The 12,706-nt window shown below is 38.3% G+C and overlaps 1 protein-coding gene across 2 annotated transcripts in view, besides 1 other annotated feature; it reads left to right on the forward strand.

Moving 5' to 3' along the window:
- The window catches only part of THSD7B (thrombospondin type 1 domain containing 7B), a 912,174-nt gene that overhangs the window by 537,314 nt on the left and 362,154 nt on the right, over window positions 1–12,706 (forward strand). The gene's annotated exons all lie outside the window — the stretch shown is intronic.
- Window positions 11,900–12,400: an enhancer, noted in NCBI's record as "H3K4me1 hESC enhancer chr2:138072328-138072828 (GRCh37/hg19 assembly coordinates)". NCBI's record gives its function as "activates a minimal SCP1, AML or CMV promoter by ChIP-STARR-seq in naive H9 embryonic stem cells {active_cell/tissue: H9 hESC(naive)}" and the evidence as "EXISTENCE:reporter gene assay evidence [ECO:0000049][PMID:30033119]".

Below are 12,706 nucleotides of genomic sequence, written 5' to 3' on the forward strand. Positions count from 1 at the left end.
GAAAAACAGTACAATCTAAATTCACTCTTCCCCTTCATTCTCCTACTACAGTCTTTACTTCCCAAGTCAACTCAAAAGTAACTCGGTATGTAGTTCTCAAATGCAGGTGCAAATATCCATAGAGACACACAGAGGCACTTCTTTATTTTATTATTTTTGAAACGAGGGTCTTCTTACTCTGTCACCCAGGTTGGAGTGCAATGGCACAATCATAGCTCACCATAACCTCAAACTCCTGGGCTCAAGCAATGCTCCTGCCTGAGCCTGCCAAGTAGCCAGTACTACAGGCACGTGCCACAGCACAAGTGCCCACTGCCGCACATGGCTAACTTATTTTTATGTTTTGTAGAGACATAATCTCACTTTGTTGCCAGGCTGATGTCAAATTCTTGGCTTCAAGCCATATTCCTGCTTCAGCCTCCCAAAGTTTTGAGATGACAGGCATGAGCCACTGCCTCCAGCCACTTCTAAAATATAGGTTCATTTTGTACTATGACCTTTGCAATTTTATTTAATATTAATAATGCAACTGTATTTTCACAATAATATGTAGAATTCTTTTTTAAACTTGTATTTAATCTTTTTCTCTGAAAAAGTTGCTGAATTTCAAATGCTTTATTTTATTTTAATAAACAGAATTAATGTGGTCCTCAAAGATTAATCTCAGGTTCATAGAAAAGTTGAGAGATACATTAAGAAGTTGGGGTAGTCATTTATAACTGTAATTGCATGATTCTTTTTTTAATAGAAAAAGTTTAATTGTCCCACTCTTTACAGACATATATAAACACACATTTTCGTGTTTATATATATTAATATATATATTTATATATATTTATATATATTTATATATATATTTATATATATATTTATATATATATTTATATATATATACAGATATATAGTTTCAAATCCTATATATAAATAGGATTTGGAGCTTCTCTGAGTATTCTTTGTATTATTATTATACTTTAAGTTCGGGGATCCATGTGCAGAACATGCAGGTTTATTACATAGGTATACACGTGCCATGGTGGTTTGCTGCACCCATCAACCCATCATCTACATTAGGTATTTCTCCTAATGCTATCCCTCCCCTAGCCCACCACCCCCTGACAGGCCCTAGTGTGATGTTCCCCTCCCTGTGTCCATGTGTTCTCATTGCTCAACTCCCACTTATGAAGGAGAACATGTGGTGTTTGGTTTTCTGTTCCTGTGTTAGTTTGCTGAGAATGATGTTTTCCAGCTTGATTCATGTCCCTGCAAAGGACATGAGCTCATCCTTTTTATGGCTGCATAGTATTCCATGGTGTATATGTGATTCTTCATTGTCATTAGTTTATTTTCATTAAAAATACTTGGACAAATGTCCCCTAAAAATCAGATTGCACCACTAATGTCTAAACACCAAGCTAAACCTTCCTGGATTCTTTAAATTAAATAATGCAAAAAATATCTATCAAGCAATGACTGTGGTAGGCATAATTTTGAGAAGTAGAGATGCAGTAATTGCCAGTGTTGATAAAGCCTTTGCCTCATGCAACTTACTTTCATTTTAAAAATAAGAATAAATTTTCATATATAAATCTAGATTTAGAAATAATAATAGGGAAAGCTTGATTTGAAAGCCAAATTTCTATTAGTGAAAAAAGACTTTTAAAGGAAATACATCATGGGATAATTATTACACTTAATACATTATAAATTAAATAAAAGTTACAAATTACACTTGACTTCATATTATCAGTAGGCCCCCTCATCCTTTTGCAGTTTCTTCACTGGTATATGTATGCTATTGTTTTTCTAGAAAACTCTGTTCTATTAATTGCTTCATATCTGATAATGCCTAGCTTGTTTCATCTAGGAGCCATGGCTCTCTTTAGGAATTTTTTCTTTTCCTTCTTTCCGTTTTTGTTTGTTTATTTGTTTAACAAAACATGATATATAGTTTTCTTAGCAACTGTGCCTCAAAATAATAATTCATAATAATGTAATATTCATAATATTTCTAAGCTATGCATGTATATTCATAATGTACATGAGTAGCTTAGTTTAATGGTGAATGTTGTCTGTTTAATGGTGAATGTTGTCTTCTTGAGGATATACCCATGGGGGCTTTCTAGACCTGCTGCATGATTATAAAATAGGACCTGAACTTAGATTTAGTTCTACTTTTTCTGTCTTGGATTTATATTTAATTTTGCTTGGGTTATTTTTCAGGATCCCTGAGGTGGCAAGTTTTCTGAGATCTTATGTGTTCAAAGATGATTTTATTTTGCTCTGAAACTGAAATGACAGTTTGATAGAGTGTAGAATGCTGGCTTTAAAATAATTTTCCCTCATGTTGCAGGTCAGAAGTCTTATGCCAATCAGGCACTCATTGTACCAGTCGGGATCAAAAGCAGAACCAGTATGGGATATGAGTTTATTACAGAGACTTGGCTTACACAGTTGCTGGAACTGGTCAATCAGTCTTTGTAAGGCTGTCATCTCTGCATTTGATGGTGAAACTTGGAGTCTACAGGACAGGCAGTCAGGAAGAGAATGTCACAAGTAGGCTGGAACTCACAGCACTACTTGGAACCCAGGAGGATGAATTGAAACTCATGTCCATTCATGCTATCTTTAACCTTGCTTAGAAGGGTATCTTGAATAAGCTGGGGCTTCTTTCAGAGTTAAACATAACTTGGAGTCCCAGAAGCTAAAGGAGGGAAAGGTAGAAAAATTGTAGGCTTAGCTGCTGCTTCATGCCCAGGAGGCAAGTCAGTACATCAGCAACAATGCAGATGAACTACCAAAGTCCTACTACCTTCCTTACCCCTTTTAAATCTCTTAGACTCTCCCTTGTGACCCTCTCTAAGCTGAAATACAGTCATGTGTCACTTAATGACAGGGATACTTCCTGGGAAATGTGTCTTTAGGTGATTCTGCTGTTGTGTGAACATCATAGAGTGTACTTACATGACACACATCTAGATAGGATAGCCTACTATACACCTAAGGCTATATGGTATGACCTATTGCTCCTAGGCTACAAACCTGTACTGCATGTTACTGTACTGAATACTGTAGGCAATGATAACACAATGGTAAGTATCTGCTTAGCTAAACATAGAAAAGGTACAATAAAATATAGTACAAAAGATAAAATGTGTACACCTGTGTGCGGCACTTACCATGAATGGAATTTGCAGGACTGGAAGTTGCTCTGGGTGAATCAGTGAATGAGTGGTAGTGAACGTGAAGCCCCAGGACATTACTAGACACTTTTATATGACTGGAGAGCTCAGTAGGTTTGTTTACACAACATCACCACAAACACAGTGCATAATACATTGTGCTGTGATGTTAGGACGTTGCTAGGTGATAGGAATTTTTCTGCTCCGTTATAATGTTATGGGACCACCATTGTCTTTGTGGCCAGTCATTAATGGACCAAAAAGTCATTACGTGGCACATGACTATATACAAGTAATGGAATTCTAGGAACTGTAATTTAAACTAGCCAGGTTGACACATTATAAAACCATCACACTTAAGTATTTTTAGGTAGCCTGTTTTTGTGCCTTTTTCATTCCTTTTTCTTCAAACTTTAAAGATTCTTTTTACCCTGAATTTATAAAATTTTAGAAGGATTTGTCAATGTGTTTATCATCACCATCATCATTATTCTCATCGTCATTTATTGTGATAAGATATTTTGTTCTTATTTTTTGCTCTATACCTAATGGGCATAATTTAAAAACTTACATGTATCTTCTAGTGAAAAAGAATTATATTTTATTATTTTCATGCTGTCCTGTCTTTTTTCTGTGATATCTTTAGACTGATACATGTTTTCTATATTTACCCTTTTATATCTTGAGTTTTCTGTTTTTGTTTATCTCTTTATTTTGCCCTTTTAAAAGTGTTTTCATTTTTTGCCCAGGTATGATTTTTAGCCATGTCTATTCTATTTTGTAGCATGTTTTTAAAATTCTATAATTTCTTTCTTATTTTCTGATTGTTCCTTTTACAAAAAATATGAGGATACTCATAGATAAATAGAACATAACAATATTTCAGGCAAGAACCTGTTAAAAAAAATGCTCTTTGAGAACAGAAGTACTTTAAATTCTCTTCTGTAATCTGCATTGTCTTTGTTCATCTTGACCTTTGTCTAATAAGCTGTTGGCTTTCCACATTTATCTAGGGATTTGGGGTTCATTTATATTTGCAGCTGAAAAACTAGTTCGAAACATGAGCTTCTGCAGCAGCTTTATAAAATAGGTGTAACACCTGAAATGGAAGAATTATTTTGGGGTCAGCAGCTCTTTCAGTTCTAACAACATACACAGACCCTATTAGGTCTATTAGATGAGAAGTTCAAGTTGACTTTAGGCCTTATTCTAACACTTCTGATATTGGTGCTACTAGTAGAACTGTGAGAGGCTCCTTTCCATCCCTCCCACCACAGACCCCCATCAGTCAGGGTAACTCGCAGCCCGCCCAGAATGAGAGGGGACATTCTGTGGTGACACATGGGAAAAGAACAAAAGAGACACCAAACTCTCTAGGAACATGTCTCGACAACCCAGGAATAAAAGGAGGCTGTGAATCAATACGAATTTCCACTTCATCCCTAATCCAAAGGTGAAATCCATTTACCTTCTGAAGACACACACATTAGAAAAGCTATAGACTGCTTTGGATAAATTGCAGCTTTGTTTATTGAATGTAGAAATGGGAATGTCAAATGCCAAATGTTAAATGTGTCCCTAAAAAAGCTTTCAGGCTTCCATTCCTGAGAAACCAAACATATTTTTATGAAAGATGAAAAACAATGCTCATGCACTACTGATAATAATTGTCTATTCTTTGTGCAATTTGGACACAGGCATAAATTGGATTTATGTTGCACAAGCATAAATTACGTTCTTCTTAGAGTAGATTAGCATGTATTTCAGGATTTATCTTACTTGACTTTAATGCTTTTGTTAGTCAGGCAACTCCGGAAGCTGACCAGGAGCGGTGACCCTCTCTGGAGACTGTCTCTTATAATACAAGGAGTCTTATAGGTTCCTCACAGGAGCCACTACTACCTGACAGGAAGTAAGAATGCCTCTGAGAGGGAGGCAGGGGTGCAAATAGGGCAACCATTTTCTACCATGCGAGTCCTTTATCAATCTATCCCGATGCTCTTATCTCATTACATCTGTGTGTGATACACTATGGAAGAGAGAATGGAGGCTTCCCCACGATTATTTCCTCCAGGTGTTAAAGTAACCCCTTCTTGATGCTCCTGCCCACCCCTAGAACATTGTATGCATGTGCACTCACACTCATAAACTCATACTTCAGTCCTAGCGATGATGGAGATGGCTCTGCCCTATTTGAGGTCCAAGCAGAAAAGATCACCAGGAATAAGGGAGCAGGCCTGTTCAGTGTGTGATGATTTTACCGGCTGTGAGCTTCCTGATCAGGTTCCAGACCAGCTTATTGTCTGATTAGTCTTGTATCATCTATTAGGAGAAGATCTGGTTGAAGCATTTCTATGCTTTGAAGTCGTGTGGGGGCTTTATAAGTGACGGAGTACCATGATATGTAACATATCACATGTAAGAAGGTTTATTTTAGACTTCATTCAGAGTCGTTACCCATTGTAGATATATCATATTCCTAAATTGTTCATTAGCACACATTAACTCATACTTGTCAAGTTATAGGTATTGAACAAGCAACAATTTTTTGTTTTATGTGTTTATATAATTTTTTTCTGTTTTCAAAATACAATTTGCTTTATGATTATAAGAATATTATATGTTTTTGAAAAAAATCCCATTGTTTCATAGAATTCGTTGAGAAAAAGGTATAATAAAAATTACCTGAAATCTCACCAACCTAAAGAAACCACTATTTATTTTGATATTTTAATGTACAACCTTCCAAACATTTATCTATATGTATATGTACTGACACACAACTGTTTTTTTCCTTGCTAACACTTTGCAGACATATCTTAAAGTCCTTATTTATTGGTACAAAGCTACTGATCATATGAATGCTTCATTTTGTTGTAACCAGTTTATTGCTGAATGATATGACATTGTTTTTGTATTAGAAACAGCTCTGAACTACAACTTTGTCCATTTTTAACTTTAGGACCTACTTCTATAAGTGGAATTTGTGAGTCAAAGAGCAGGAATCTATAAAGTTTTTCGTAAATATTTCCAAACGGGCTTCTAGAAACATCATATCATTTTATTTTTCAACAATAGCATAGGACAGTGCCTCATTCTTCATTCCTTTAGCTAATGCCAGATCTACTCAATATTTTAATAGTTGTCAATCAAAATGGAAAGGAAAACTCATTTTTGTACTTGAATTTCTTTGATTGCTATTAATATTACTTAGTCATTTATATTCCTTTTCAGACATTACTTCTCAGAGTTTTTTTTCACTATTTTTATACTGGCTGTTTGCTTTTTTGTCTTTCCCTGTAGTGTAAAAGACATAGTTGGCATACTGTGGATAATAAGCCTTTTTGTCACATATTTTGCAAATATGCTCCCAGTTTGATATTTATTTTTAAACTTCCTTATGAACTTATTTGTTTTTTAAAAATTATTGGACAAAGTTCAGAGTTTTATATATATATAATTTTATTTATTTTTTATTATTATTATACTTTAAGTTTTAGGGTACATGTGCACAATGTGCAGGTTAGTTACATATGTATACATGTGTCATGCTGGTGCGCTGCACCCACTACCTCGTCATCTAGCATTAGGTATATCTCCCAATGCTATCCCTACCCCTACCCCCACCCCACAACAGTCCCCAGAGTGTGATGTTCCCCTTCCTGTGTCCATGTGTACTCATTGTTCAATTCCCACCTATGAGTGAGAATGTGCGGTGTTTGGTTTTTTGTTCTTGGCGATAGTTTACTGAGAATGATGATTTCCAATTTCATCCATGTCCCTACAAAGGACATGAACTCATCATTTTTTATGGCTGCATAGTATTCCATGGTGTATATGTGCCGCATTTTCTTAATCTGGTCTATCATTGTTGGACATTTGGGTTGGTTCCAAGTCTTTGCTATTGTGAATAATGCTGCAATAAACATACGTGTGCATGTGTCTTTATAGCAGCATGATTTATAGTCCTTTGGGTATATACCCAGTAATGGGATGGCTGGGTCAAATGGTATTTCTAGTTCTAGATCCCTGAGGAATCGCCACACTGACTTCCACAATGGTTGAACTAGTTTACAGTCCCACCAACAGTGTAATAGTGTTCCTATTTCTCCACATCCTCTCCGGCACCTGTTTCCTGACTTTTTAATGATTGCCATTCTAACTGGTGTGAAATGTTATCTCACTGTGGTTTTGATTTTCATTTCTCTGATGGCCAGTGATGGTGAGCATTTTTTCATGTGTTTTTTGGCTGCATAAATGTCTTCTTTTGAGAAGTGTCTGTTCATGTCCTTTGCCCACTTTTTGATGGGGTTGTTTGTTTTTTTCTTGTAAATTTGTTTGAGTTCATTGTAGTTTCTGGATATTAGCCCTTTGTCAGATGAGTAGGTTGTGAAAATTTTCTCCCATTTTGTAGGTTGCCTGTTCACTCTGATGGTAGTTTCTTTTGCTGTGCAGAAGCTCTTTAGTTTAATGAGATCCCATTTGTCAATTTTGGCTTTTGTTGCCATTGCTTTTGGTGTTTTAGACATGAAGTCCTTGCCCGTGCCTATGTCCTGAATGGTAATGCCTAGGTTTTCTTCTAGGGTTTTTATGGTTTTAGGTCTAAGGTTTAAGGCTTTAATCCATCTTGAATTGATTTTTGTATAAGGCATAAGGAAGGGATCCAGTTTCAGCTTTCTACATATGGCTAGCCAGTTTTCCCAGCACCATTTATTAAATAGGGAATCCTTTCCCCATTGCTTGTTTTTCTCAGGTTTGTCAAAGATCAGATAGTTGTAGATATGCGGCGTTATTTCTGAGGGCTCTGTTCCCTTCCATTGATCTATATCTCTGTTTTGGTACCAGTACCATGCTGTTTTGGTTACTGTAGCCTTGTAGTATAGTTTGAAGTCAGGTAGTGTGATGCCTCCAGCTTTGTTCTTTTGGCTCAGGATTGACTTGGTGATGCGGGCTCTTTTTTGCTTCCATATGAACTTTAAAGTATTTTTTTCCAATTCTGTGAAGAAAGTCATTGGTAGCTTGATGGGGATGGCATTGAATCTGTAAATTACCTTGGGCAGTATGGCCATTTTCACGATATTGATTCTTCCTACCCATGAGCATGGAATGTTCTTCCATTTGTTTGTATCCTCTTTTATTTCGTTGAGCAGTGGTTTGTAGTTCTCCTTGAAGAGGTCCTTCACATCCCTTGTAAGTTGGATTCCTAGGTATTTTATTCTCTTTGAAGCAATTGTGAATGGGACTTCACTCATGATTTGGCTCTCTGTTTGTCTGTTGTTGGTGTATAAGAATGCTTGTGATTTTTGTACATTGATTTTGTATCCTGAGACTTTGCTGAAGTTGCTTATCAGCTTAAGGAGATTTTAGACTGAGACAATGGGGTTTTCTAGTTATACAATCATGTCGTCTGCAGACAGGGACAATTTGACTTCCTCTTTTCCTAATTGAATACCCTTTATTTCCTTCTCCTCCCTAATTGCCCTGAACAGAACTTCCAACACTATGTTGAATAGGAGTGGTGAGAGAGGGCATCCCTCTCTTGTGCCCGTTTTCAAAGGGAATACTTCCAGTTTTTGCCCATTCACTATGATGTTGGCTGTGGGTTTGTCATAGATAGCTCTTATTATTTTGAGATATGTCCCATCAATACCTAATTTATTGAGAGTTTTTAGCATGAAGGGTTGTTGAATTTTGTCAAAGGCCTTTTCTGCATCCATTGAGATAATCATGTGGTTTTTGTCTTTGGTTCTGTTTATATGCTGGATTACATTTATTGATTTGCGTATATTGAACCAGCCTTGCATCCCAGGGATGAAGCCCACTTGATCATGGTGGATAAGCTTTTTGATGTGCTGCTGGATTTGGTTTGCCAGTATTTTATTGAGGATTTTTGCATCAATGTTCATCAAGGATATTGGTCTAAAATTCTCTTTTTTGGTTGTGTCTCTGCCCGGCTTTGGTATCAGGATGATGCTGGCCTCATAAAATGAGTTAGGGAGAATTCCCTCTTTTTCTGTTGATTGGAATAGTTTCAGAAGGAATGGTACCAGTTCCTCCTTGTACCTCTGGTAGAATTCGGCTGTGAATCCATCTGGTCCTGGACTCTTTTTTGTTGGTAAGCTATTGATTATTGCCACAATTTCAGCTCCTGTTATTGCCCTATTCAGAGATTCAACTTCTTCCTGGTTTAGTCTTGGGAAAGTGTATGTGTCGAGGAATTTATCCATTTCTTCTAGATTTTCTAGTTTATTTGCGTAGAGGTGTTTATAGTATTCTCTGATGGTAGTTTGTGTTTCTGTGGGATCGGTGGTGATATCCCCTTTATCATTTTTTATTGTGTCTATTTGATTCTTCTCTCTTTTTTTCTTTATTCGTCTTGCTAGTGGTCTATCAATTTTGTTGATCCTTTCAAAAAACCAGCTCCTGGATTCGTTAATTTTTTGAAGGGTTTTTTGTGTCTCTATTTCCTTCAGTTCTGCTCTGATTTTAGTTATTTCTTGCCTTCTGCTAGCTTTTGAATGTGTTTGCCCTTGCTTTTCTAGTTCTTTTAATTGTGATGTCAGGGTGTCAATTTTGGATCTTTCCTGCTTTCTCTTGTGGGCATTTAGTGCTATAAATTTCCCTCTACACACTGCTTTGAATGTGTCCCAGAGATTCTGGTATGTTGTGTCTTTGTTCTCGTTGGTTTCAAAGAACATCTTTATTTCTGCCTTCATTTCATTATGTACCCAGTAGTCATTCAGGAGCAGGTTGTTCAGTTTCCATGTAGTTGAGCAGTTTTGAGTGAGATTCTTAATCCTGAGTTCTAATTTGATTGCACTGTGGTCTGAGAGATAGTTTGTTATAATTTCTGTTCTTTTACATTTGCTGAGGAGAGCTTTACTTCCAAGTATGTGGTCAATTTTGGAATAGGTGTGGTGTGGTGCTGAAAAAAATGTATATTCTGTTGATTTGGGGTGGAGAGTTCTGTAGATGTCTATTAGGTCCGCTTGGTGCAGAGCTGAGTTCAATTCCTGGGTATCCTTGTTGACTTTCTGTCTCATTGATCTGTCTAATGTTGACAGTGGGGTGTTAAAGTCTCCCATTATTAATATGTGGGAGACTAAGTCTCTTTGTAGGTCACTAAGGACTTGCTTTATGAATCTGGGTGCTCCTGTATTGGATGCATATATATTTAGGATAGTTAGCTCTTCTTGTTGAATTGATCCCTTTACTATTATGTAATGGCCTTCTTTGTCTCTTTTGATCTTTGTTGGTTTAAAGTCTGTTTTATCAGAGATGAGGATTGCAACCCCTGCCTTTTTTTGTTTTCCATTTGCTTGGTAGATCTTCCTCCATCCTTTTATTTTGAGCCTATGTGTGTTTCTGCACATGAGATGGGTTTCCTGAATACAGCACACTGATGGTCTTGACTCTTTATCCAATTTGCCAGTCTGTGTCTTTTAATTGGAGCATTTAGTCCATTTACATTTAAAGTTAATATTGTTATGTGTGAATTTGATCCTGTCATTATGATGTTAGCTGGTGATTTTGCTCATTAGTTGATGCAGTTTCTTCCTAGTCTCGATGGTCTTTACATTTTGGCATGATTTTGCAGTGGCTGGTACTGGTTGTTCCTTTCCATGTTTAGCGCTTCCTTCAGGAGCTCTTTTAGAGCCGGCCTGGTGGTGACAAAATCTCTCAGCATTTGCTTGTCTGTAAAGGATTTTATTTCCCCTTCACTTATGAAGCTTAGTTTGGCTGTATATGAAATTCTGGGTTGAAAATTCTTTTCTTTAAGAATGTTGAATATTGGCCCCCGCTCTCTTCTGTCTTGTAGAGTTTCTGCCGAGAGATCTGCTGTTAGTCTGATGGGCTTCCCTTTGAGCGTAACCCGACCTTTCTCTCTGGCTGCCCTTAACATTTTTTGCTTCATTTCAACTTTGGTGAATCTGACAATTATGTGTCTTGGTGTTGCTCTTCTCGAGGAGTATCTTTGTGGCGTTCTCTGTATTTCCTGAATCTGAATGTTGGCCTGCTTTGCTAGATTGGGGAAGTTCTCCTGGATAATATCCTGCAGAGTGTTTTCCAACTTGGTTCCATTCTCCCCATCACTTTCAGGTACACCAATCAGATGTAGATTTGGTCTTTTCATATAGTCCCATATTTCTTGGAGGCTTTGCTCATTTCTTTTTATTCTTTTTTCTCTAAACTTCCCTTCTCGCTTCATTTCATTCATTTCATCTTCCATCACTGATACCCTGTCTTCCAGTTGATCACATCGGCTCCTGAGGCTTCTGCATTCTTCACGTAGTTCTTGAGCCTTGGTTTTCAGCTCCGTCAGCTCCTTTAAGCACTTCTCTGTATTGGTTATTCTAGTTATACATTCTTCTAAATTTTTTTCACAGTTTTCAACTTCTTTGCCTTTGGTTTGAATGTCCTCCCATAGCTCGGAGTAATTTGATTGTCTGAAGCCTTCTTCTCTCACCTCGTCAAAGTCATTCTCCATCCAGCTTTGTTCCATTGCTGGTGAGGAACTGCATTCCTTTGGAGGAGGAGAGGTGCTCTGCTTTTTAGAGTTTCCAGTTTTTCTGCTCTGTTTTTTCCCCATCTTTGTGGTTTTATCTACTTTTGGTCTTTGATGATAGTGATGTACAGATGAGTTTTTGGTGTGGATGTCCTTTCTGTTTGTTAGTTTTCCTTTTAACAGACAGGACCCTCAGCTGCAGGTCTGTTGGAGTACTCGGCCTTGTGAGGTGTCAGTCTGCCCCTGCTGGGGGTTGCCTCCCAGTTAGGCTGCTCGGGGGTCAGGGGTCAGGGACCCACTTGAGGTGGCAGTCTGCCCGTTCTCAGATCTCCAGCTGCGTGCTGGGAGAACCACTGCTCTCTTCAACGCTGTCAGACAGGGACATTTAAGTCTGCAGAGGTTACTGTTGTCTTTTTGTTTGTCTGTGCCCTGCCCCCAGAGGTGGAGCCTACAGAGGCAGGCAGGCCTCCTTGAGCTGTGTTGGGCTCCACCCAGTTCGAGCTTCCCAGCTGCTTTGTTTACCTAAGCAAGCCTGGGCAATGGCGGGCGCCCCTCCCCCAGCCTCGCTGCCGCCTTGCAGTTTGATCTCAGGCTGCTGTGCTAGCAATCAGCGAGACTCCGTGGGCGTAGGACCCTCCAAGCCAGGTGCGGGATATAATCTCCTGGTGCGCTGTTTTTTAAGCCCATCAGAAAAGCGCAGTATTCGGGTGGGAGTGACCCGATTTTCCAGGTGCCATCTGTCACCCCTTTCTTTGACTCGGAAAGGGAACTCCCTGACCCCTTGAGCTTCCCAAGTGAGGCAATGCCTCGCCCTGCTTCGGCTCATGCACAGTGCGCGCACCCACTGACCTGCGCCCACTGTCTGGCACTCCCTAGTGAGATGAACCCGATACCTCAGATGGAAATGGAGAAATCACCCGTCTTCTGCGTCGCTCATGCTGGGAGCTGTAGACCGGAGCTGTTCCTATTCAGCCATCTTGGCTCCTCCCCCACTATATGTATATATAATTTTAAAACGTTT

The sequence above is a fragment of the Homo sapiens genome, chromosome 2 (genome assembly GCF_000001405.40).
Source record: "Homo sapiens chromosome 2, GRCh38.p14 Primary Assembly".
Lineage (NCBI taxonomy): Eukaryota > Metazoa > Chordata > Mammalia > Primates > Hominidae > Homo > Homo sapiens.